Source organism: Homo sapiens, chromosome 1 (assembly GCF_000001405.40).
Source record: "Homo sapiens chromosome 1, GRCh38.p14 Primary Assembly".
Lineage (NCBI taxonomy): Eukaryota > Metazoa > Chordata > Mammalia > Primates > Hominidae > Homo > Homo sapiens.
The window spans coordinates 88,674,110-88,696,618 of NC_000001.11; the positions used below are offsets into that span (position 1 = coordinate 88,674,110).

General features: G+C 38.2%; 1 protein-coding gene and 1 long non-coding RNA gene across 7 annotated transcripts in view, besides 2 other annotated features; one reads left to right on the top strand and one right to left on the bottom strand.

Moving 5' to 3' along the window:
• The window catches only part of PKN2-AS1 (PKN2 antisense RNA 1), a 147,692-nt gene extending 136,597 nt beyond the window's left edge, over positions 1-11,095 (bottom strand). The window contains exon 1 of the long non-coding RNA NR_110682.1: positions 11,055-11,095. This is a non-coding gene — a long non-coding RNA (PKN2 antisense RNA 1). The remainder of the gene's footprint in view (positions 1-11,054) is intronic.
• Positions 9,999-10,328: an enhancer, noted in NCBI's record as "active region_1290". NCBI's record gives its function as "activates an Ori minimal core promoter by ATAC-STARR-seq in GM12878 lymphoblastoid cells {active_cell/tissue: GM12878}" and the evidence as "EXISTENCE:reporter gene assay evidence [ECO:0000049][PMID:35858748]".
• Positions 10,164-22,509, top strand: part of PKN2 (protein kinase N2) — a 151,983-nt gene continuing 139,637 nt past the window's right edge. For 5 of the 6 annotated variants that reach the window (NM_006256.4, NM_001320707.2, NM_001320709.2 and 2 more), the window contains exon 1: positions 10,164-10,519. In NM_006256.4, the coding sequence (NP_006247.1) occupies positions 10,472-10,519 (48 nt within the window). In that variant the 5' untranslated portion in view covers positions 10,164-10,471. Of the gene's footprint in view, positions 10,520-17,614; positions 17,672-22,509 lie in introns of all 6 variants that reach the window. The other variant, XM_047425224.1, reaches the window with a different exon arrangement.
• Positions 10,359-10,438: an enhancer, noted in NCBI's record as "active region_1291". NCBI's record gives its function as "activates an Ori minimal core promoter by ATAC-STARR-seq in GM12878 lymphoblastoid cells {active_cell/tissue: GM12878}" and the evidence as "EXISTENCE:reporter gene assay evidence [ECO:0000049][PMID:35858748]".

The following is a 22,509-nucleotide window of genomic DNA, read 5'->3' on the forward strand; positions in this document are numbered from 1 at the left end:
TATTTTAAAATCGCTTTTATATTTTATAAGTACCTATAACTAGCAGTTCTTATTTTTAATTAGAAAATACACATATTTTCAGCCACACTTGAATAAGTGGTATGTATGCACATAAAGAATGGTTACATATATACATTTCTATTATACATTTTAAAAATCATCAAACAAGTTCTTATCAAGCACTTTCTACTCATATTAAACTTTATATATTACTGGATGCTGTGGAGATTACAGAAGTAATATATATTGTTTTCACTCAAGAAGCTCAAAATCTACATGGGAAACACAGGAGTGAATATAATTGGATCCTAATGTGTGTATGCAGGTATAACCCCAGTAAATTTTAGATACTCCATAGATTTTGTCAAATGAGTGAATGAATTGTAAAAGCTAAACTGAGTTTTTGTTTTTGTTTTTTAGATGATTCTCAGTCTGTCTTCCAGGCTGGAGTGCAGTGGTGTGATCTCGGCTCCCTGCAACCTCTGCCTCCCAGGTTCAAGTGATTCTCCTGGCTCAGCCGCCTGAGTAGCTGGGACTACAGGTGCGTGCCACCATGCCGGCTAATTTTTTTTTTTTTTTTTTTTTTTTTTTTTGTATTTTTAGTAGAGACAGGGTTTCACCATGTTGGCCAGGCTGGTCTCAAACTCCTGACTTCAGGTGATCTTCCTGCTTCGCCATCCTAAAGTGCTGGTATTACAGGTGTGAGTCACCCCTCCTGGCCAAGCTAAAATGTTTTTAATCACTCACTTTAGATAGTTTAAATATTTCAAAAAATTCTATCAATGGAAAGTTTGAGAAGAGGGCCTATTTAAATATCTGACTTGGAATGTATATTCTAGTTAAATATTGCCATGTATATCTATTATTCTGTCCCCCCTTCCCCCAACCAAACCAACCAACCAACCATTTCATTATGCTCACAAATTCTATGGTTTGGGAGTTTGTACAGGACATAGTGGGGATTGTCTCTTTCCATGATGTCTAGGGCCTCAAATAGGATGCTTCCAACAGCTGGAAGCAACTTGAACTGGTGGGGACTGGAAGGGCTGAGAATGGAAGATCTCTTACCAAGAGGGAAATAGGTCTTTACCCTCCTGTCTGGTGACTGGGCTGGGATGATTTAAAGGCTAGGTTCAGCTAGGACTATCAACCACAACACCTATATATATGGCTTCTCCATGAAGCTTTGACTTCTTACAGAACAGTGGCTGGGTTCTGAGAAGGTTCAAGCTAGGAGGGAGTTTTCTAAGAATTTATGGTCTTTTTTTTTTATAACTGATATATATAATACATTTGCTCTGAAGCTCACATTTTAAAGCCTGAGAAGTAGAATGCTTTACCAACGGCAAAAATCACTGACTAAAATACCTATGAAGTGGATATTGTGAATTGTCCATCAAAATCCACCCTGTCCCTGTTCTGTAGGAAGAGTTGTAGCAAGGTCCATAACTACACAGTTAGAGATGACATTTCTCAGCCTCATTTGAAGCTAGGTGTGGCCATGTGACTACATTCCCAGAATGGAATATGAACAGAAATGTGTAATTTTGAGCCTGGGTCTCAAGACATTGGATATATGATCCTCCATGCTCCTTTTTCTTTCGCATGAGGTAGATCATGGAGTTCCTTGACCCATCTTCAACCATGCAGCTGAGAATAATGCCATGGTGAATGATAAGTTAGAAAGTGCACAGCAACAAGATAGAAAAAACCTGGGTTCCTGGTACAGTCTTTGTGTGTGAGAAATAAGCAAATTTCAGTGTTCTTTAAGCCATAGTGTTTTGGGTCCTCTTTGATAGAAAAGTTTAGCTTTACTCTAATTCAGATAGTACATACACATGATTGAATGATAGCTGGATGCTGAAGAAATGATGGTAGGGAAAGCAAGCTCCCTGTTGTCCATCTCCCCCAACCAAACCCTTTAAAATGTTTGGTATGGTCAATATTTTTGTATCTATTGACTTTTATTGCTATTTTAAGTTGCAGAAGATGTTTCTGATGAAGGAAGCACTAGTAGTAAAATGGTCATGTTTATTATGTAAATTTTTTCATACTTATATTCCTTTTCCATTTTGACATGGCCAGCCAAATTTTCCCACACATAGCACCAACATTTCACTTGAAAGGCCAAGAAGCTTGTACTTCAGCCCACAGATCTTCAGAAGCTTGTATTTTGGCACCACAGATCTTAAACTCTGGAAGCACAGAGAACACGTTCCCATATTTACAAGTAGAAAAATATTACTATTCCAGAATCATCAGAGGCAGCCTTATAGATTAGAGCAGCAGCTCTCAAGGTGTGGTCTGAGGACCCCTAAGAAACCTTTTCAGAAGGTCTCTAAGGTTAAACCTATTTTCATAATAATATTTAGATGTCGACAGTCGGGGGCGGAGGCTCACGCCTGTAATCCCAGCACTTTGGAAGGCTGAGGCAGGCATAACACCTGAGGTAGGCAGATCATCTGAGGTCAGTTCAAGACCAGCCTGGCCAACATGGTGAAACCCCGTCTCTACTAAAAATACAAAAACTAGCTGGACGCGGTGGCACAGGCATCCAAGGAAAACTGTTTTCCTCATTACAGCCAGAGTGACTTGTTTAAAATGAAAAATTTATTTCCATTACTGCTATGATAAACATCAAAATCTTTTTTAAATTTTATTTTTTGAGAGAAGGTCTTGCTGTGTTGCCACACAGCAAGCTACTCGGGAGGCTGAAGCAGGAGAATCACTTGAACCCGGGAGGTGGAGGTTGCAGTGAGCCGAGATTGCACCACTGCACTCCAGCCTGGGCGACAGAGCGAGACTCTGTCTCAAAAAAAATAAATAAAAATTAAGATATCACTTGCCTTTTTCACTTGTATTCTCCCATAGGGGTAGGGTGGAATTTTTCAGAGGTTGTGTGACATAGAATGAGGCCATCACTCTGATGGCTAATGAAATGTGAGCTGGTATATTCCGGTTTTTTAAATTCTTCAGTTTTAACTTCAAATACAGTGAACATCACAATATATAGCCCACATAAAAACTCTTTAGGGTCTTCAGTAATTTTCAAAGAGTATAAAGAGATCCTTAGTGTCTTTGTTTGGGCTACTGTAACAAACCATACAGAATGGCTTACGAGTAAAACAAATTTATTTCAGACAGTTCCGGATCTAGAAGTCTGAGATCAGGGTGCAGCATGGTCAGGTTCTGGTGAGGGCCCTCTTCCAGGTTGTAGACTGCTGACTTCTCATTGCATCTGCACATGGCAGAAAGAGAGCAAGAGAGCTCTCTGGAGAGTCTTTTATAAGGGCACTAATCTCATCCATGGGGTCTTCACCCTCATGACCTAATTACTTCCCAAAGGCCCCCACCTCCTAATATTATCACATTGGAGGTTAGGATTTCAATATATGAATTTGTAGAGGACAATATTCAATATATAACACTGAGGGTAAGAATAAAAAGTTCAACTTCTCAATAGTGATTAAAGCACACTTTCTTTTCATTACTTCAAATACATACAACTCAAGCAGTTAGCATTCATTCAGTTGATTAGGTCCCAAGTTAGAAAAAATGGTATTTTCTGGTACCCCTTTCAAAAGAACAGTTTATATTTTGAAGAAATGTCCAAATAATCTTATTTGGGATAACAGCTGAGAATCAGAAAAACCTGAGTATGATCAAACTGTAGCAGGGAAAGGAGCAGGATTTGCTTGTTAATGTATTGAGGGTGAAAAAAGAGCAAAAGACCCAACATTGGGGTGAAAGGCATCAGATCCTGTCATGTGATCCCTCTTAAATGTTTGGTACAAAGTTAATGAATTCATGAAATGCTTGAAGACAGAGGGTTTTGGTAGTTAAAAGTTACGGGCTGGGCTTCTGATCCCTATCAATATAGGCATAGTCAAAGAACAAAGGTGATAGAGGAGTGTTGTGGGAATACATGTGGAGGAAGAGAGAAGGAGGACAATATTTGTGAATAACCTTTCAGGGTCCAAAAATTGGACTAGGTGAAAAGAGGCTCTTGACTTTAGAGGCTATGAAACTGGGCCTTCAAGGCAAGCTTACCTAATTTTCTGAGGGCCATGGAGTCCCTAGCTAACAACCTAAATTTCTGTAATACATACAGAATTGCACATACATATACACACACAAATATCTGCTACGTAAGAGATACTATACTAGGCTATCTAAGACACATGGGCCTTTTCTAGCGACTTAAAGTTTAGTGTGAGAGCAAGACTGTATCCAATGATACAAAAAATTGCCCTAACAGATATATGAACAAAGTACTACGGGAAGGTTCATATGAGATCTAATATGTACTCATTGTTTATAATTTGTACATTTGCTGGTGTCAGGATCCTTTGGGAACAATAAGCAGAACGGGTAGAGATGGAGTCATTGGAAGAAGAGATAACACCAGTTAAACTGTGTTGCTGGTCCTAGTTACTTGTGTCCTGTAGGCAGAACTGTGGTGTGATGCTTTCTCTGATGGTTATCTCCTTGGCTTAATAGCCTAGTTATGGCTGTTTGCTTAAACACACATACGCACACGCACACACAAGCTTAAGCAGGAAGGGAAATTTATGAGGAGAATACAAGGAACCCAAGAACAAAGAATAGAGTAGCTGGACTTCCTGGAAGACTGGAGTCAGCTACTATTAAGACATTGAGAACCAAACCTGCTATATTTCCTCTGTCATCCTGGGACCACATATTCTCTCACCTCTGCTTCTTTTTGAACATGACTAGATTCTCCTATCTATTAAATCTATTGGCTTCTCTCCATTTCTACTGCCATGACCCGACTTTAAAGTACTACCCACCCTTTTTTTGCCTGGAAAACTAAAATGGTCCCCTAATTTTTCTCCCCAAATCGACTCTTGGCCATTTCAAAACTGTTTTCCTCATTACAGCCAGAGTAACTTGTTTAAAGTGAAAAATTTATTCAGTGGTATTTCCATTACTGCTATGATAAACATCAAAATCTTTTTTAAATTTTATTTTTTGAGAAAGGGTCTTGCTGTGTTGACAAGACAGGTCTCTAACTCCAAGCCTCAAACGATCCTCCTCCCTTAGCCTCCTGAGTTGCTGGGATTACAGGAACAAGCCACCCTGCCTGGCTTTCAAAATCTTAAAACATAGAACTGGATTACTATTCACCCACATTCAGTACCCTTCATTGTGGTACCGCTGTCTGTGCCCCCTTGTTGTTCTCAGGCATGGCAAATGTTTGGCTGATGAAAAGAGAAAAAAATGTGAGCCTACACTTTAAGAACCATGCTTTACCACTTTTCCTTCCGCCATGACAATGACAATTTTAGATTGCTCAGTCAGCCTCAGTCCAGAGTGAAGATGTCATGGAGCAGAGCCATGTTAAGCATGTAGGATGGGAGGTAAATAAACCTTCCTGTAGACCACTGGCAAGCTTTTGGAGTATTTTGTTACTCAGCATAACCTAGCCTATCCTGATACATATGGTCTACACACTCTTACTTATTCCATCTCTTTGCTATAGCCTACTTAGCCTTAGAGTAATTACAATAAAGTTTCCCCCTCCCACATTATAACTATTTATCTATGTTATTCTCTCTCCCTGGAAGGCTCTTTACACCTTTTCCCCCTCAGTTAACATTTACACACTTATGAGAACTCAGCTTAAGTGTGAAGTACTTAGGAAAAGATTGTCTGCCCTATGTTTAAAGTACTATGAATTTACCTTATCATTATACCTGTTTTACCAAACTACAAGTTCCATGACAAAAGCGACCAGGTATGCTTTGGTAACCATTATATTCCCAGTGACAGGAAGAATTAAATTCTTTTCTCGTTCCAAAGAGAAGTTTTTCTGCATTGTTGTGCACATGGCAGAAAATGGCTATCCAATCCATAGAACAACACCTTGCCACTCTAGACTGCCAATTGATCAGCATTCCAATGATCTGTTTCCAAAGTCTTAGAGGGAAAATCTGATTGGCTAAACCTGGATATGGTCTATCAGTGATCTAATCATAGTTTACTGGAAGAGCTATGTTAAGCAGAGTCAACATGGCTTCAGAGATATCTCTGTGTATAGGAGGAATTTTCAGTCAAGTGGATGTGGACTGAGCTGACATTCTAAAAAGCAGCTACTGTAGTCACTATAGTTGACTACTCTTCTGTGTTCTTAATCAAGAACCCTGTGCTCAAAATTATCTTCAGAGCGCATACAAGAGAATGATTTCTACAAGGGGGTTTCTTAAGGAAGAAGAGGGTGGTGACCAAGTAATTCTTACTCTGACCTCTGGAGTTTTGCCTTTCCTTAGGCACTCTTACTTTGATTACCACTGCTACTTCATTCTAATCTTTTGGAAGTAGGGGTGGGCTTTTTCTTCTAACATGGAAAACAACAACAACGAAAGGAAAACAAAACAAAACAAAACTCTTGTATTGATTCTCCATCATACTGTAGGGACACGTTTGAATTGAACAGTTTACAAATATTAAGGACAAGCAAAAGGGAAATAAACAACGGAAGGCAATAAAAATGTGACTCACAAAATAAAGATTTCTGGCCCTTTCCCTGGACATATGGTTCCTGTCTCATTTCACTTGAAATTTAAGGAAAAAGAGGGCCCATATTATCTGAATATCTGTTTCAAAAGCACAGAAAATGAAAAAAAAAAAAAGTTGTTAGCTTTTCTAGAATTTTTCCTGTAACATCCCATCTTTAAGAAAAAAAGATAACACTTTCTATTTATTTCTAGATTTTTGGTCATTTCTACTTCTTAAAGACCTTTAAAATATTTATGAAAAATTTAAAAAGGTACCAGCATAACTAGTGATACAATCCAGATATTTTTAAGGACTTTGCCCTCTTAAATGGACACTAAAAAAACTCTTCTTTTTTTTTTATTGTTAATGTAAATTACTTCTGAACTATATTTAAGATTCTCTAAACACATTTGTAAATAGGGGCCCAATACAACCCATCTGAATCAACCTGATATGTTTCCATTAAAACTTTTTCAAGTGTGCTTCAGTCTGATAAGTATGATCCATGTCCTATTACGTTTTTTTCCCCCTGAACAGAGAATGTGACCTGGGTAGTAAATTTTAGCTTAAATGAAACTAATTTGCTGTTTAAATCATCACATATTTTAGATTATCAAGTAGTTTTAATATTGTTGGCCTCCCTTTTGTACTACTTTCCCTAGCACAGCTAATCTCAGAAATAATTCCTTAACTTTAAAAACTTTGTATATTTGTTGCTTAAATTTACATGTGAAATGTAAAATTAATATTCCTTATCAACAGTGGTGTGCACCTATAGTCCCAGCTGTTTTGAAGGATGAGTCAGGAGGATCCCTTGTGCCCAGGAATTTGAGGTTGCAGTGAGCTATGATCATGCCACTGCAGTCAAGCCTGGGCAAAAGAGCGAGACTGTCTCAAAAAAATTTTTTTTAATTATTAACACTTTTAACATTAGAAGTGTGTAACATTTAAAGTCTTTTTCTACGGTAAAAATTTAATGCTTTCAGTTTAATATCAATTTAAAGTTATTATAGTGGCATGGTGAAGGTTAAAACAAGCATGGATGGCAATTAGGAGACTTAGGTAATAGTCCCCATCTCTGCCACTAAGTAATACTGCTGTCTTGCTTCTAATTAGCTAAGGAAACTATTAATTTTTTTTCCTACCTACAATAGGAGTTAAGCTAGATATTTCAAGTCACTTCTAGTTCTAAAATTACATGATGCTGAAATGTGAACATTTATATCTAAATTAATTTTTACAAAGACTGCTCATTGACTGTATTTCTAAGCCCTTGCACAGTTAACTCTTAGTTCCACCATTATTAATCACCTTCTATGTGCATGTCAGCCATCTCAAATCCATTCTGCAGTAAGCCTTGACAAAAATAAATTTGTACGCCAGGCACGGTGGCTCACACCTGTAATCCCAGCACTCTGGGAGGCCGAGGCAGGAGGGTCACGAGGTCAAAAGATCGATACCAACCTGGCCAACATGGTGAAACCCGTCTCTACTAAAAATACAAAAGTTAGCCAGGAGTGTTGGCATGCGCCTGTGGTCCCAGCTACTCAGGAGGCTGGGGCAGGAGAATCACTTGAACCTGGGAGGCGGAGGTTGCAGTGAGCTGAGATGGCACCACTGCACTCCAGCCTGGTGACACAGCGAGACTCTGTCTCAAAAATAAATAAATAAATAAATCTGTGTGCATTCAATGCCCCTGAATTGTACACTTATGGTTATAATAAATTTGATTATGCATTTTACCATAATAAAACATTATACACACACACACACAAATGCATGCAGTGCTCCCCTAACACTGTATCTATTACTTAAAATGGCATTATTGTTGTTCGGACATAAGTTGGCTTCCCCAAAGAATTCTCCAGTCACCCCAAGGATAAGTACCTTTTTTTTTTTTTTTTTGAGGCAGTGTCTCACTCTTACTGCAACCTCTACCTCCTGGGTTCAAGCAATTCCCCTGCCTCAGCCTCCCGAGTAGCTGGGATTACAGGCGCACACCACCACGCCCAGCTAGTTTTTGTATTCTTAGTAGAGACAGTTTCACCAAGTTGGCCAGGCTGGTCTCGAACTCCCGACCTCAGATGATCGGCCAGCCTTGGCCTTCCAAAGTGCTGGGATTAAAGGCGTGAACCACTGCGCCTGGCCGGATAAGAACTCCTAATCCTTTCTGTAACTCCAAAGCCTAGGAAACCATCTGGCTTTTAGTTACCAGTAAAGGTAATCATATCCCGGCCTTTCCAAGTGTTCTTTCATGTATTTAATTATCATCTTCAACCAAGGCAATATACTAGACACATAAATAGTTGTAAGACTTGTGAAGTACACACCAGAAAAATTCTTTATCACACATATGATAAGTTAGAGTTCAGAAACTGTGGCCACAGAACTCCAGATCTTCAATACATGTTTGCTGAATTGATGTATGAGACTTGAGAAGGCAAAAGGATAGACGTTAAGTCCTGGCATCAGGCCAACAGAGTTACATGGAGCGTGTGAGAAGTACATAATGTTACACTTCCTAAGAAATATGTCAACGAATGCCCTTTCTAAGTAGCAACGTACCTAAATAACCCTTACCACTCTCTCCAGGTAGTTTTAACAAAGGTATTGTACCGCAGCTTCAAAAAATCAAAAGTTACGCGTTTACCTATCCATTCACTGCTCAGACAAAACAAAAACAAAAGCTACCTGTAGGAGACTTCGAAATTCCTTAATACCATAGTGTCATTAAAAACAAACACCTAGATTTACTTTACTTAGCTATATTTTACTAAGTAGTCAGGTTAGCTTTAATGCTTACCACGCCAAGGAAAGGTGGCTTTTTTCCTTTCCCGAGGGTAATCCCGTCCCACCTCCCCCTCCCTTAAATAAAGTTAAAACAACCCAAAAAAACCCAGCTAATTCTCAGCTCTGTACAGTTCTCCAGTACAAGCAACAGTAGTTCAACCTCAAGAAAAAGACATCTTAAAGGCCGTACATTAAAAGTTGCCAGGGATCCAGCCGCTTACATTTCATGAAAAGTACAGACCATACCCGTTTAGCTAGCTGTGCACCTTAACTGGTCGAGAAGGCGCGCTGGGGGCTGGGTTTGAGGGTGAGCAAAAGGCAAGATTATTAGTTTGGGTTGACGTGGGGGTCAAGGGGAGAGCAGAGGAATAATCTGTAAGATCTGAGTCCCGAAGCTCTTTGGGTTATGGAGGTTAGAAAAGGGCCTGTTAAAGTTAGGCCCAAGTTTCGGCAAGGTGGAACTGGGAAAAAAAAAAAAGAAAGAAAAAAAAAACGAAACCCGAAAAAACAACAGCGAGCAGGCTCCCGAGTTCTAGCGTTCACAGTGAAGCCGTTAAACGCAGCAGGAAAGTAGGCGTGTGTTTTCTTCCTCTTCCCGCCTCCCCAGAGACTCGAGCCCAGTCCTTTCCCCTCATTTTCACCCCAGCCGAGTCCAATGGCTGCCCTCGCCGCGGAGTCGGGTCGGAAGACGCCCCGCCCCCTCGCCGCGTTCGCCCTAGGGAACCCCTCCGCCCCACCTTCCCTGCCCGATGAGGGGCAGTGGCTGCCGCCGTCACGTGTGCTGGCAGCCGCCAAGTGAGGCCGCTTTTGCGACGCGGTGACAGCCAAATGGTGCGACAGGAGGAGCTGCAGCCGCGGCCGCAGCGCCCGCACGGAGAGGCTTGAGGCGGCTCCTGGCGTCGCCCAGAGGGAGCGACTAGACGAACAGTCCGGTGAGGGCGGCGAGAGGAAGCCCGCTACGAGTGCCCTAGCTCCCCGCCGCTCTCGATGAACCGGACGGAATAAGCCGCGCCTCCAGCAGGGGCTGCGCCTCCATGAATCCCTAGTTGTTTTTTTTTTTTTCTTTCTCTCCCCTCTCCTCACCCCCACCCCGAGCCCCGTCCCGCCTTCTCCCTTCGCCAGAGGCGGCCGCGTCCAGGTGCGGAGTCCATACCGGAGCGCAATGGCGTCCAACCCCGAACGGGGGGAGATTCTGCTCACGGAACTGCAGGTAAGGGCCGCGGCCCTGGTGAGAGGCGCTGGCGGAGGAGACAGGGAGAGAGCCCCGCGCGGCGTCGGGGACCGAGGAAAGCCCTGCGGCCGCCGCGCCCCTAGCCCGCTAAGTGCGGAAACTCCGGGATGTCACTCGGGAAATGCTTCCCTCGGGGAACCGCTTCCCTGGGGAGCCGGACCCTCTCCCCCGCCAAAGCCCTGGCCTGCCACCGCTTTGGTTTGATTCTGCCTACCAGAGGGGACCCCATCTCTGCAGCCCTGCTGCAGCGGGAGCCTGCTCTCGCCTGGTCCCCGGAGAGGCCGGCCCGTCGCCCCCTCCCTCGGTGTCAGAGCTACCCGCGAACGCCCCTGTTGCCCCCTCCCTTCGCGCGGCCGGGCCCCGCCCCGCCTTTCCTCCGTACACCGCTCCTTAAACTCCTTTGAATGACTCCCAAGCTGTTTTCTTGTCCCTCCCCCTCCCCTCAGACTCCGCACAAAGAGCGCCCCCATAACTTCCAGCCCCTAGACAAGTTTTTTTAAAAAACGAGTCTCACCAAATGTTTGCTTCACTTCAGCAGCCCTCTTCAGGTGACAGAGTTTCTTTCCTCTATTTTGAGGGTTATCTTTTTCTTTTCTTTTCCTTTCTTTTTTTTTTTTTAACCGAGTGATAAATACAGGGTGCCTTTCTCTGCTACCCCTGCCCAGATCCGGGAGCTCAGATGCTGATGCTTTTCAGACTTTCATTTTCCCTCTCATTTGAGCACCAGAGAAAGAGCTAATAAGTTGTTTACTAATGAGAAAGCAGTCGACTAAGGGAAAACATTGGGCACCACATGTCTGCAAAAGATGAGAGCAAAGTAGATCGCTTAGTTAAGTCATGTCGAGTAGCAATGTTATTTCCCATTTCCAGATAAATATTTGATAATGTAGGCACGATTTTCTTTAGATCTCTATGGTGTACATGGGGACTTAAGCTACCCTGTCGGGTTTTTCATTACTTGGGAGTGTTCCAGAGATGTTTGTTTTTTGACTTAAAAGTTATTTTGCTTTATTTTAATATAGTTATCTTTTAGCTACTCAAAGATTGTAGATGGGAATTAGGAGAAAAAAATAGCATGCCTGCATTTCTTTTTGTGTGTTGGACAGTTAATTTTTTTTAAAAAAAAGACTAAATCAAGAAATTCTGAAGAGTTGATGTCAAAATTAAGTATTGCAACTGCATCTAAATTTCTTGTTTAAATATACTTTTTAAGAAATCTCTTTATAAGTTTGGTTTCTTGTGCAGTCAGACGTAAGCTTGAAAACTTTGGTATAATGGTTGATATTTCCTCCACAAAAATAGAGACTTTAACAATGTATATCAATGCAGTGTTGCACATTTAGAATCCTTTGGTAATGCAAAGCTGAATTTCATATAATTGAAAATGTTGCTATGTAGTATTTTAATTACAGTTAGCCTTTTATAAGCAGATCTTACAGCATACCACATTTGCTAAATGAATGGAATTTACTATTTTATTAATAGTAAATAATTTACATGAGCTTTTAAAATGAAGATGATGTGAGGCAAGTCAGAAATACTTTACATTGCCTGGTCTTGAACCATGAAAAACATACTTTGGTTTTGATTGAGAAAGATGATAGGGTCACTTTTCTTTTGAATTGAGCAGTGTTAGAGTTACAATATATTTGGCATTGGTACTTGTATGTTATAGAAAGTTGGCATAAAAGACACCTACTTTGGCACTGGAACTGAAAATATATTTTCATGTGTATTAATAACATTTAGGATCTTTTAATTAATAAGATCAATTTTGATAATAACAAGGAAGCAAGCAAAGAAGGAAGAAATTTTAAATATGATGACCTAGAAATACGACCAAAATAGAGGAATACCTAAAGTTAAGCTTCTAGATAAACTGAAATATAACCCCTTCCAGAAAAAGAATAGTTTTTATTAAGTGTTACCTTATAGGTTGTCATATATCCAAGTCATTTTCTTGGTTTATTTGACTCCCAGTTTTGATAAAAGTTATTGCATTTAAACTTTATCGTGTTTATTAAAATGTTTGCGACTATTACTTATATCAACACTTAAAGATAAATAGTCATAAAGTTTGCTTCTCCAAATATTTCCATCTATTCAGACTTTTTATTTCATTGGGTCCTGAAACTTAGTGTACAGCAACCAAGTATTTATTAAACTTTTGTTTCAAGATTCACTTTTTTAAAAAGCTTCTAAATTGTTTGAATTTAGACTGAAATACTGTTTAATATGAAGTTCTTAATTCTTCTCTGCCATACAGATTTTAAGTATTTAAGAAGTTTTGTAGCCAGTTTTAAGATGTATTTAATGGTTAAAACTGTTACTTTGCTATGTATCCTGTCTCAGGAATACTTGTTTACTCTGAAAGTTACATATTACAACCTGGCTTTAATAAAATTGATATTTATTTAGAAATATATCCAGCTTTTCATTATTTTTTCAAATTGTAGAATTTGAAATACTCCACTGCTTGAGCTGGAATTGGCTTTTGGTCATGGAAAGGCAAAGTAAGAAAATCTGAAACTACAGTATTCTGTCTTGTTAATTACTGTAATAGCATGGAGTAATGTTTTTAAGTATTGTTAGTAATTCAGGAGGCTTATTCAACAAGGAAGCATTAATAAACTATGTAAACTTTGGTGGCTAGAGGTTTCAAGGTATAAGGAAGAATATTTACTGTAGTAAAAATAAAAATCGGCTGTTTAAAATGGCCAATTTCTAATTTTTATCTCATAACTAATTTGTTGTGTTGTATTCTCTTTTTTTATTTGAAGTATAGCAGAAAACAGACATTTTTGCAATGCCAAAGAAACTAAAGTCTATTTCCAAGAAACCTGGATTAATGAAAACTGTAAAGAATCTCAGAATGAAAGTGTTGGCTACAATGGTAATTTTGTAGAATGCAGACCAAATATTGAGCAGTGTACTAACAAAGCTACCTTGTTGATTATTGGAGATTCATTTTCTTCATCAAAATGCCCAATAAAGTGTTGGTCTGGGAATCTTAAATTCCATTCTCAGCAGATTTTATTTAGATAGAGGTAACTTGCTCAAGTGGAAAGTTGAGATAGTTACCCTTAAATTACAGGGGTTAATTTCACCAAACAGTTATGTAGTATCTACCAAAGCTATATTGGAGGATATAAAGATGACAAGATAGGTTTTTGCTTTCCAGAAGAGAGTATAGATAATTGTACTAGAAGATAATTATAAGAGACTACAAATAACATTTTAAAAATTATTTGCTATATATCAGACATTGTACTTAGTGTCCTATACACCTTATTTGATCTTCACAACAATCCAATAAGGTAGGTGTTATTTCCATGTTGTGGATCAGGAAACAAGTTCAAGAATGTTAAGGAAATTGCTCATGGTTACATTGTGTGTCTGAGTTTGAACCCAGGTCTGTATGTTTCCCACTACACTATTCTTTTTTTTTTTTCTGGAGACGGAGTCTCGCACTGTCACCCAGGCTAGAGTGCAGTGGTGTGATCTCTGCTCACTGCAATCTCCACCTCCCAGGTTCAAGCGATTCTCCTGCCTCAGCCTCCCAAGTAGCTGGGATTACAGGCACCTGCCACCACACCCGGCTAATTTTTTGTATTTTTAGTAGAGACGGGGTTTCATTATGTTGGCCAGGCTGGTCTTGAACTCCTGACCTCGTGATTCGCTTGCCTCGGCCTCCCAAAGTGCTGGGATTACAGGTGTGAGCCACCATGCCCGGCGCCACTACACCATTATTTAAATTGCCACAGTTCTGGGGAACTATAAATGTTTTGCATCTAATGTTATAGTTGTATGAACTTTCTACAAATTGGCCAAAAACGTAATTAACCAACATTAACTTTACACTACTTGTTAGCTCCGTCTGTAACAAGGAAAAATGATTTCTACATTCCACTTGGTAGTCTATAATTTAGCAGTGTTTTATTATTGTAGATACAGTCTAATATTTCACAAAGAATAATAGTACAAATAATCTTTTTACAGGGTTTCTTCATTAAGAATTACTGTTTCTAATGAAAGGTGTCACATGCTTGCCCAAAACTTCCCAAAAGATTTAACATTACTCTGTAGACTGTGCTTTGCTTTAAAATTTTATACTCACATGTAACCTAGCTCTGTGTTTGACACTTAGTAGGTGCGCAATACATTGATGAGAATGCTCCATTTGTCACGTAGGAGGAGGGATGTCTAGGTTATTTTAAGAGAAGTTCATTATAATCTTTGACATATGAAATTACGTAGTTTTCTTTAATTTACATTTCTAATCCCTTCTCCCAAAAATATTCTCTTTAAAAGTACAAAAGGGATTTCTATAGTAGTTACATCATTCTTCCATATAGCACACTGGTAGTTTACTCATTTAATGGAAAATGAGAAGACGGCATCTAATTTTGCAGTGACACTGGAAAGTGGAAGGTCTGAGTTGGGAGGATTAAAATTTTAGGGTGGTTTGGGGGTTGGTGGTATGAGAAGGTAAACAGGGTAGTTAAGACAGACTTTACATTGTTTTCAAATTAGAAATGTAATGCACATGTATTACAGAAAATCCAGAAAATGTGGAAAAGCACAAAAGAAAATAAAAGTTGCTCATAGTTCTGTCACTTAGAGACTGACAGACTTTTTCCACCTAAAAGTCCCATGGCTGTAGAGTCCATTTTTTCTTTTTTTTCTTTATCTCATTTTACTTACTAGAATTTTGAAGAAAAATGAAGCTCAGAGAATTTTAAGATAGAAATCACAGTAGGTTAAAAACTTTTTTCTTGCCACTGGTTCTAGATGAGTGGATCTAATTAGCTTTTATTGCCTTTTTTAATCTCAAAATATTTCAATTATGAGTCACGGCTTTATTAAGAAGAAAAGTGCAGGCTGGGCATAGTGGCTCACACCTGTAATTCCAGTGCTTTGGGAGGCTGAGACAGGCGGATCACCTGAGGTCAGGAGTTCGAGACTAGCCTGGCCAACTTGGTGAAACCCTGTCTCTACTAAAAATACAAAAATTAGCCAGGTGTGGTGATGTGTGCCTGTAATCCCAACTACTTGGGAGGCTGAGGCACAAGAATTGCTTGAACTCAGGAGGCGGAGGTTGCAGTGAGCTGAGATCACGCAACTGCACTCCAGCCTTGGTGACAGAGTGAGAACCTGTCTCAAAGAAAAGTGCAGTAGTATGGATTTAGTAATAGACAGTAATGAAGTATAGCAACAATTTCTTTGAATAATATAGCAATACAGTGTGTTTTTCCGGCTTAGGTTTGATTGTTGCTGCTCTTATAGACTACCACAATGTTTGTAATTTGCAGCGCATACTTTGCTGAATTAAACATACTAAATAACTTTCCAAATATTTCTTGACTACCAAGATAAAAGTCTGTGTTAAAACTAGTGTTACTAAATGATGGCTCTAAAATGGATTTTTTTGTCATCTCTCATTAGTGTAATAGAGATTAGGTCTAGTATCATGCAATTCCTACCATTCACATAGTGTTGAAATAGGGACAAGTAGGGGCACCTTTTAGACATCATCTCTTTATCCCAGAGCTTAGCATCTGATTCCTTGGGCTCTCTTATTTCTGCTTTTTGAATTTGGCAATGGTAAATTTTCATGCCATTCATCAGAAGCATGTTTACTTTTAAACAAATAAAGTAGTAGTTTGTAAACATCACCTAAAATAATGTTACTTTCATACCATAAATGGTATTTGAATAAAACAGTTAATTCTACATTATTCCCTCATAAAATATACTGTGCTGATAATTGTCAAATGTCTATATTATTTCAAAAGCCAATTTTACTCTACAGTATATGACATTTAATATGATCAACTTTTGATATACAGCAGAGTTCAAACTTGACAGCAAAGTTGAAAACTAGTTAAAAGCTTTAAAAAGATTTAAAATTTAGAGTGGGAAAAATATACTAATGAAAAAGTAATTCCTTAATGAAACAGAAATAGAGAATCTTTATCTTGATGCATGTCTAGCTTGTCTTAATTTTATCTGATGAAATCTTGTTTGAAACTAGCTCTATTATCATACTTGGTTTTTTTTTGCAATCACAAAAATGAAATTTGTGTAACATTATATACATAAATATTGCCTGTAAAAAATGAAGATCAAGAAAGCATGGGACAGTGTACTTGATGACAGTAAACACCTTAAATGTGAAGGTAGTGTTGAAGTGCCTCATAAAGATGAGTGGATATACAAGACTTACATAATATTGTTAGGATTTATCTCTTTTAGAAATTTGTCAGTGACTTATCAAATTGGTGAAAGTTTTACTGCCCTGGCTCATAAGTACCTTAATTTAATGGAATGTAGTTATGACAAAATTTGGAATTTATTTTTGATTATAGAAGACATACCACACAATACATGTGCTGAGAGTTTTTTATTTATTTTATTTTTATTTTTATTTTTGAGACAGGATCTCGTTCTGTCACCCAGCTTGAAGTGCAGTGACGTGATCTCGGCTCACTGCAGCCTCTGCCTCCTGGGCTCAAGTGATTCGCCCATCTCAGCCTCCCAAGTAGCTGGTACTATAGGTGTGAGCCATCATGCATGGTTGATTTTTATATTTTTTTGGAGAGACGGGGTTTTGCCATGTTGCCCGGGTTGGTTTTGAACTGCTGGACTCAAGCAGTCCACCTGCCTTGGCCTCCCAAAGTGCTAGGATTACAGATGTGAGCGTCTGTGCCTGGCCTGAGTATCATATATTTTACACATTAATCATACTGTTTTCCCTTCCCTGTAGTTGCTACCTTAGGGATTCTTTAAGGAGGTGTTTGTTCTCCATTTCAGAATTTTCATTGAACAAATTTTATGCAACTTTTGGATTTTTAAAAAATTTGTTAAACATCAGGCACACTGCATTGGATTAATCACCTATCTGTCTGTCAATCATTTTAATAAGTACTCATGGACCACCACTCCCCCTCTCTCAAAACAAGCTAGGAACTTTAACCTACGTATAGTTTTCCTCTATTCTATCCGTCTATTTCCACCTTCTTGTCATCTAGGTCATCATTTTTGAGTCCTGTGTTCATTCTCTTCCTTATATAGTAGTCCCTCCTTATCCACGGTTTCAGTTACCCATGGTCAACTGTGGTCCAAAAATAGGTGAGTACAGTATAGTACTATAAGATATTTATAAGTACTAAGATACTTTGAGAGAAACCACACTCATAACTGTAATTACAGTATAGTTATAATTGTTCTATTTTATTATTAGTTATTGTTAATTGCTTACTGTGCCTAATTTATAAATTAAACTTTAGCATAAGTATGTATGTTAAAGGAAAAGTGTAAATAGAGTTTAGTACTGTTCGTGGTTTTAGGCATTTACTGAAGGTCTCTCGGTGGATAAAAGGAGACTACTGTGTATAGTTTAGTTGGACATATAAATCTAAACATCTTTTAGTTGTTTGTATAGAATTGTGAATATAATCTTTTTGAACTTGATTTTTCACCTGTTATAAATAAGATTTATCCACATTTTTGCATGTTGCTATAGTCATTATTTAAATTGCTATATAATATTTCATTGAGTAAAATATTCATTAACTCTACTTTGGTGGATATTTGGATATTTATCCACTCTCCCTTGTTGGGCAGTTATTTTCCATTTTTTGTTTTGTTTTGTTTGTAATTATAAGCAAAGATCCTATGGACAGTCTGCATGTTTCCTACTGTGCATGTGCCACAGTTCCTATTATATACCTAGAGGTAGCATTGCTGCCTCACAGGGTAGGTGAATGTTCAACTTAAGAGATGATGCAGAACTTTCAATATGGTTGCACCAATTTATATTCATATTAGCAATATATGAAATAAAAGATCCTTTGGTTATCCATCCTCTCCAACACTTGATATTCTCTTTTTAAGTTTTACAAATCATAAGGGTGTAAAATGTTGCCTTATTGTGGTCTTGATGCGCATTTTCCTGGTTATCACTGATGTAGAACACTTCTTTTTATGTTTGTCGGCCTTTTTACGTGGCTTCTTCAGTGAAATTCCTATTTATGTCTCTTGCCTATTTTTGTTTTTCTTACTAGTTTATAAGAGTTCTTTATATTGCTTATGTTAATCCTCTGTGTACATTGTGAATGTCTTCTTTCAGTTCCTAACTTTTTCGCTTTCTTTTATGGAGTTGTGTGGGAGGGACAGTTTTAAATGCCTCTACCTTCTTTGGCAAATATTTGGAATAATTTACATCGTTATCATCAACAGGCTTGTATTTAATATCTATTGTACATTTGGTATAGAAAGGGTAAAGTTATATTAATAGTTTATGGCCTGGGGATTTGTAAACTATCCAAATGAACAGCCATAGGAAGTTGTATAAAATATTGTATTGCTTCACACATGCTAGGCACCCAAATGCTAGGTTGATTTAGTTAATGAGTAAATTCAGAAGCAAAGAAATAGCAAAAATTATACATACACTTCATCAGTTGCTTATTTTCCAATTCCATACCTCTCTGTTGCAAACTACTTATTATTAGTCATTAATAATATTTTATTCTTTTGTTTAAAGGGCAGTATATTCCGTAAGATTATGTGAGTCAGTTATTTAGGTATTTTCATAGCTTGCCATTAAAATGCTGGAGTTGATCAGATTTAATACTGGATATAAAGCAAAATATTAATCTTCTGAACAGTTTACTAGTTCAGAAGTTTACAAACTCGGAATCCTAAATACAGTTTTTGTCATTGCTGTGCATCTTTTGATAAAAAAAATTCTTAAGTCAAATTTGTCCATTGTTTATCATACAGTAAGTCCTCACTTAATGTCATTGACGGGTTCTTGGAAACTGACTTTAAGCAAAATAACTTATAATGAAACCAGTTTCTTTTTTCTCATCAGTGTTCTAAGGAAATGATATTATAAACAATGAAACATTAGCCAGAAGTGGTGATGCACACCTGTAGTCCCAGCTACTTTGGAGGTGGAGGTGAGAGAATGACTTGAGCCCAAGAGTTAAGGCTGCAGTGAGCTGGAATCGTGTCATTGCACTCTAACCTGGGCAGCATAGTGAGACCCTGTCTCAAAAAAAGAAAGAAAAGAAATGATATTGAGCGAAACAGCATTATTAAAGGACCTGAAGCACATTGTTTTTCTTAAAGTCTCAGTTCCAAGAACCTATCAGCAGTGTTAAGTGAGGACTTACTGTAATTGCTTTTCATGCCCTTTTAAATAAATTATTCCCTATCCTGGGTTTAAAAGATAGCTACCCAAGTTTGCTCCTAAGAATCTTGCAGTTTTATTTTTTAGATTTAAGTCAGTTTATCTGGATTTGTTGTTTTTTAATAGACTTCATATTTTAAAGCAGTTTTAGGTCCACAGCAAAATCGAGAGGAAGGTCTAGAGATTTCTCAAATAACTGCGTCCCTACATATGTACATATGCATTATCGACATCCTCCACAAGAGTACATTTGTTGCAGTTGATGAACCTATATTGACACATCATCATCATCCAGAGCCCAGAGTGCACACATCTTGGTGTTGTGCATTCTATGGGTTTGTACAAATGTATAATGACATGTATCCAGCATTATAGTATACAGAATAGTGTCCCTGCACTAAGCTTATTCTCTGTGTTCTACCTATTCATCCTTCCCTCTCCTCCATCCCCTGGCAACCACTGATCTTTTTACAGTTTCCATAGTTGTGCGTTTGGGAAAATCTCATGCGGTTGGAATCATACAGTGTGTAGCCATTTTACATGGGTTTCTTTCACTTAGAAATAAGCATTTAATTTTCCTCCATGTCTTTTCATAGCTTGATAGCTTATTTCTTTTTAGTACTGAATAATATCCCATTGTCTGTATGTACCTTAGTTTATTCATTCACCTACTGAAGGACATCTTGGTTGCTTCTGTTTTGGCAGTTATGAATAAAATGCTATAGACATCCTATGCAAGTTTTTGTGTGGATGCAACTTTTCAACTCCTTTGGTTAAATACCAGGGTGTCCAATTGTATGGTAAGAATATATTTAGATTTGTAAGAAACTCCCAAACTGCCCTCCAGAGTGCCCGAACTATTTTGTATTCCTACCAACAATAAGAGTTTTTGTTGTTCCACACCATCTCCAGTATTTGGTGTTGTCAGTTTTCTGGATTTTGGTCATTCTAATAAGTGTATCATGGTATCTCATTTCTGTTTATTTAATAGCATTGATTTTTGAATATGGAGATAGGTCTGAGTTATTTTAATGTTTAAAAACATTTTGAAGGCCAAGGCGGGCAGATCATGAGGTCAGGAGATCGAGAGATCACAGTGAAACCCCGTCTGTACTAAAAATACAAAAAATTAGCCGGGCGTGGTGGCGGGCGCCTGTAGTCCCAGCTATTCTGGAGGCTGAGGCAGGAGAATGGCGTGAACCCGGGAGGCAGAGCTTGCAGTGAGCCGAGATTGCGCCACTGCACTCCAGCCTGGGCGACAGAGCGAGACTCCATCTCAAAAAAAAAAAAATTTTGAAATGTCTGTCAGACGTCTTTATAATGCAAATTTAAAATAGAGCACTTTTCAGCTTTTAGGATAGAAACATCTACACATAGCTTTATTAGCCTAACTCTAACTTGCAAAAATTAATCAAATATGATTAATTAAAATTAATTAAAATTAATCATTTGATTAATCAAATTTGATAAATTCTTGCCAGTTAGAGTTACATCATGCTAGGTTATGTATTGAACTATACCTGAACTTATCCTTACCTAGCTCAGTAATACCTCACTTTTTCCTTATTATATCAATTTGTGGTTCTTTTGTTTTTTTATCTCCTGAAGCTTTGGGTTAGTAAAGGTCATCCTTGTCTTAACTCTTATTGACACCCATCCCATTCCCCAGTTGTGGCTCAAACTTTTTATGTTGTTTTCTGTCATCCAACCTACTCCTGCTCTTTTGTTCTCAGCATATCACTCATCTCTATGTAGTGATACGTGCTGTTCAACCACGTGAGTTTCCTCAAGTTTTCTTGTCTTTACTTTCAGATTTCTTGGAATGTTAGCCATCCTTTTTATTTCTACTGAATTTTAAGGAAAAATTGCTTCTTCTTGGTAAGGTTATACTTTCCTGGGCTTTTGCTTCCTCTGGAATATCATGTTTTACTCTTTTGCAGGGTGGGGCTTTGCATTATCCACTGGCTCTTGGCTTAAAAATAAGTTAACGTCTCTCATGTTTTTATTATACTCTTTAATACTGTTGTACCCTCAAATTTCTTTCTTTTTTAAAGAAATTTCTTAGATGCCTTGTCTACCGTTTATTTAGCTTACTCATATATGACTTCTGTCTCAGTTATTCTGTTGAAGTGGTTTTCTTAAAGGTATCATGACATTCTGTTGCTTCTAGTCTTTAGACGCAATTGATACTGCTCCAGCTTCCTGAAACTATTGTTAATTAAGCTTTGAGGACCCTGCACTATATTGGTTACTTTTCTTTCATCATACCTGCCTCTGTTTGTTACTACTGCTTTTGTTTGGTAACTCCTTTTCTACCTTAAATGTTCCACCTATTTGTAGCCTATTTTCCCATTAATTTATCCTTCAGATTAACCACCGGAATCTGATTAACCGCCAAAACCTTGTTTAGTAACAGTTGCAGAAAATAGAAACCCACTTAAATTAGCTTAAGCAGAAATTGGATTTTTTGAAAAGCTATGGGGTTGTATCACTTAAGGGTAAGATGTATAGCCAGATCCCATGAGTACTAAACAGGAAACTGGATGTTTTCTTTCTAGGGCTACATGTTCTCTTTTCTTTAAGTATGTGTACTGCTTTATGTCTCTGTATACTGGTTCTCTTTGCTCTCCTTGCCTGTGGTCTCCAAGTTGCACTCCTAACTTCTAAATTTACATTAACTACAAGTTCATTGCACATAGACCACAGCTGACTGACTGAGTTGCTATATGTCACAATTCTAAATTCTTAGATGAGAAAATCTGAGTGGCCT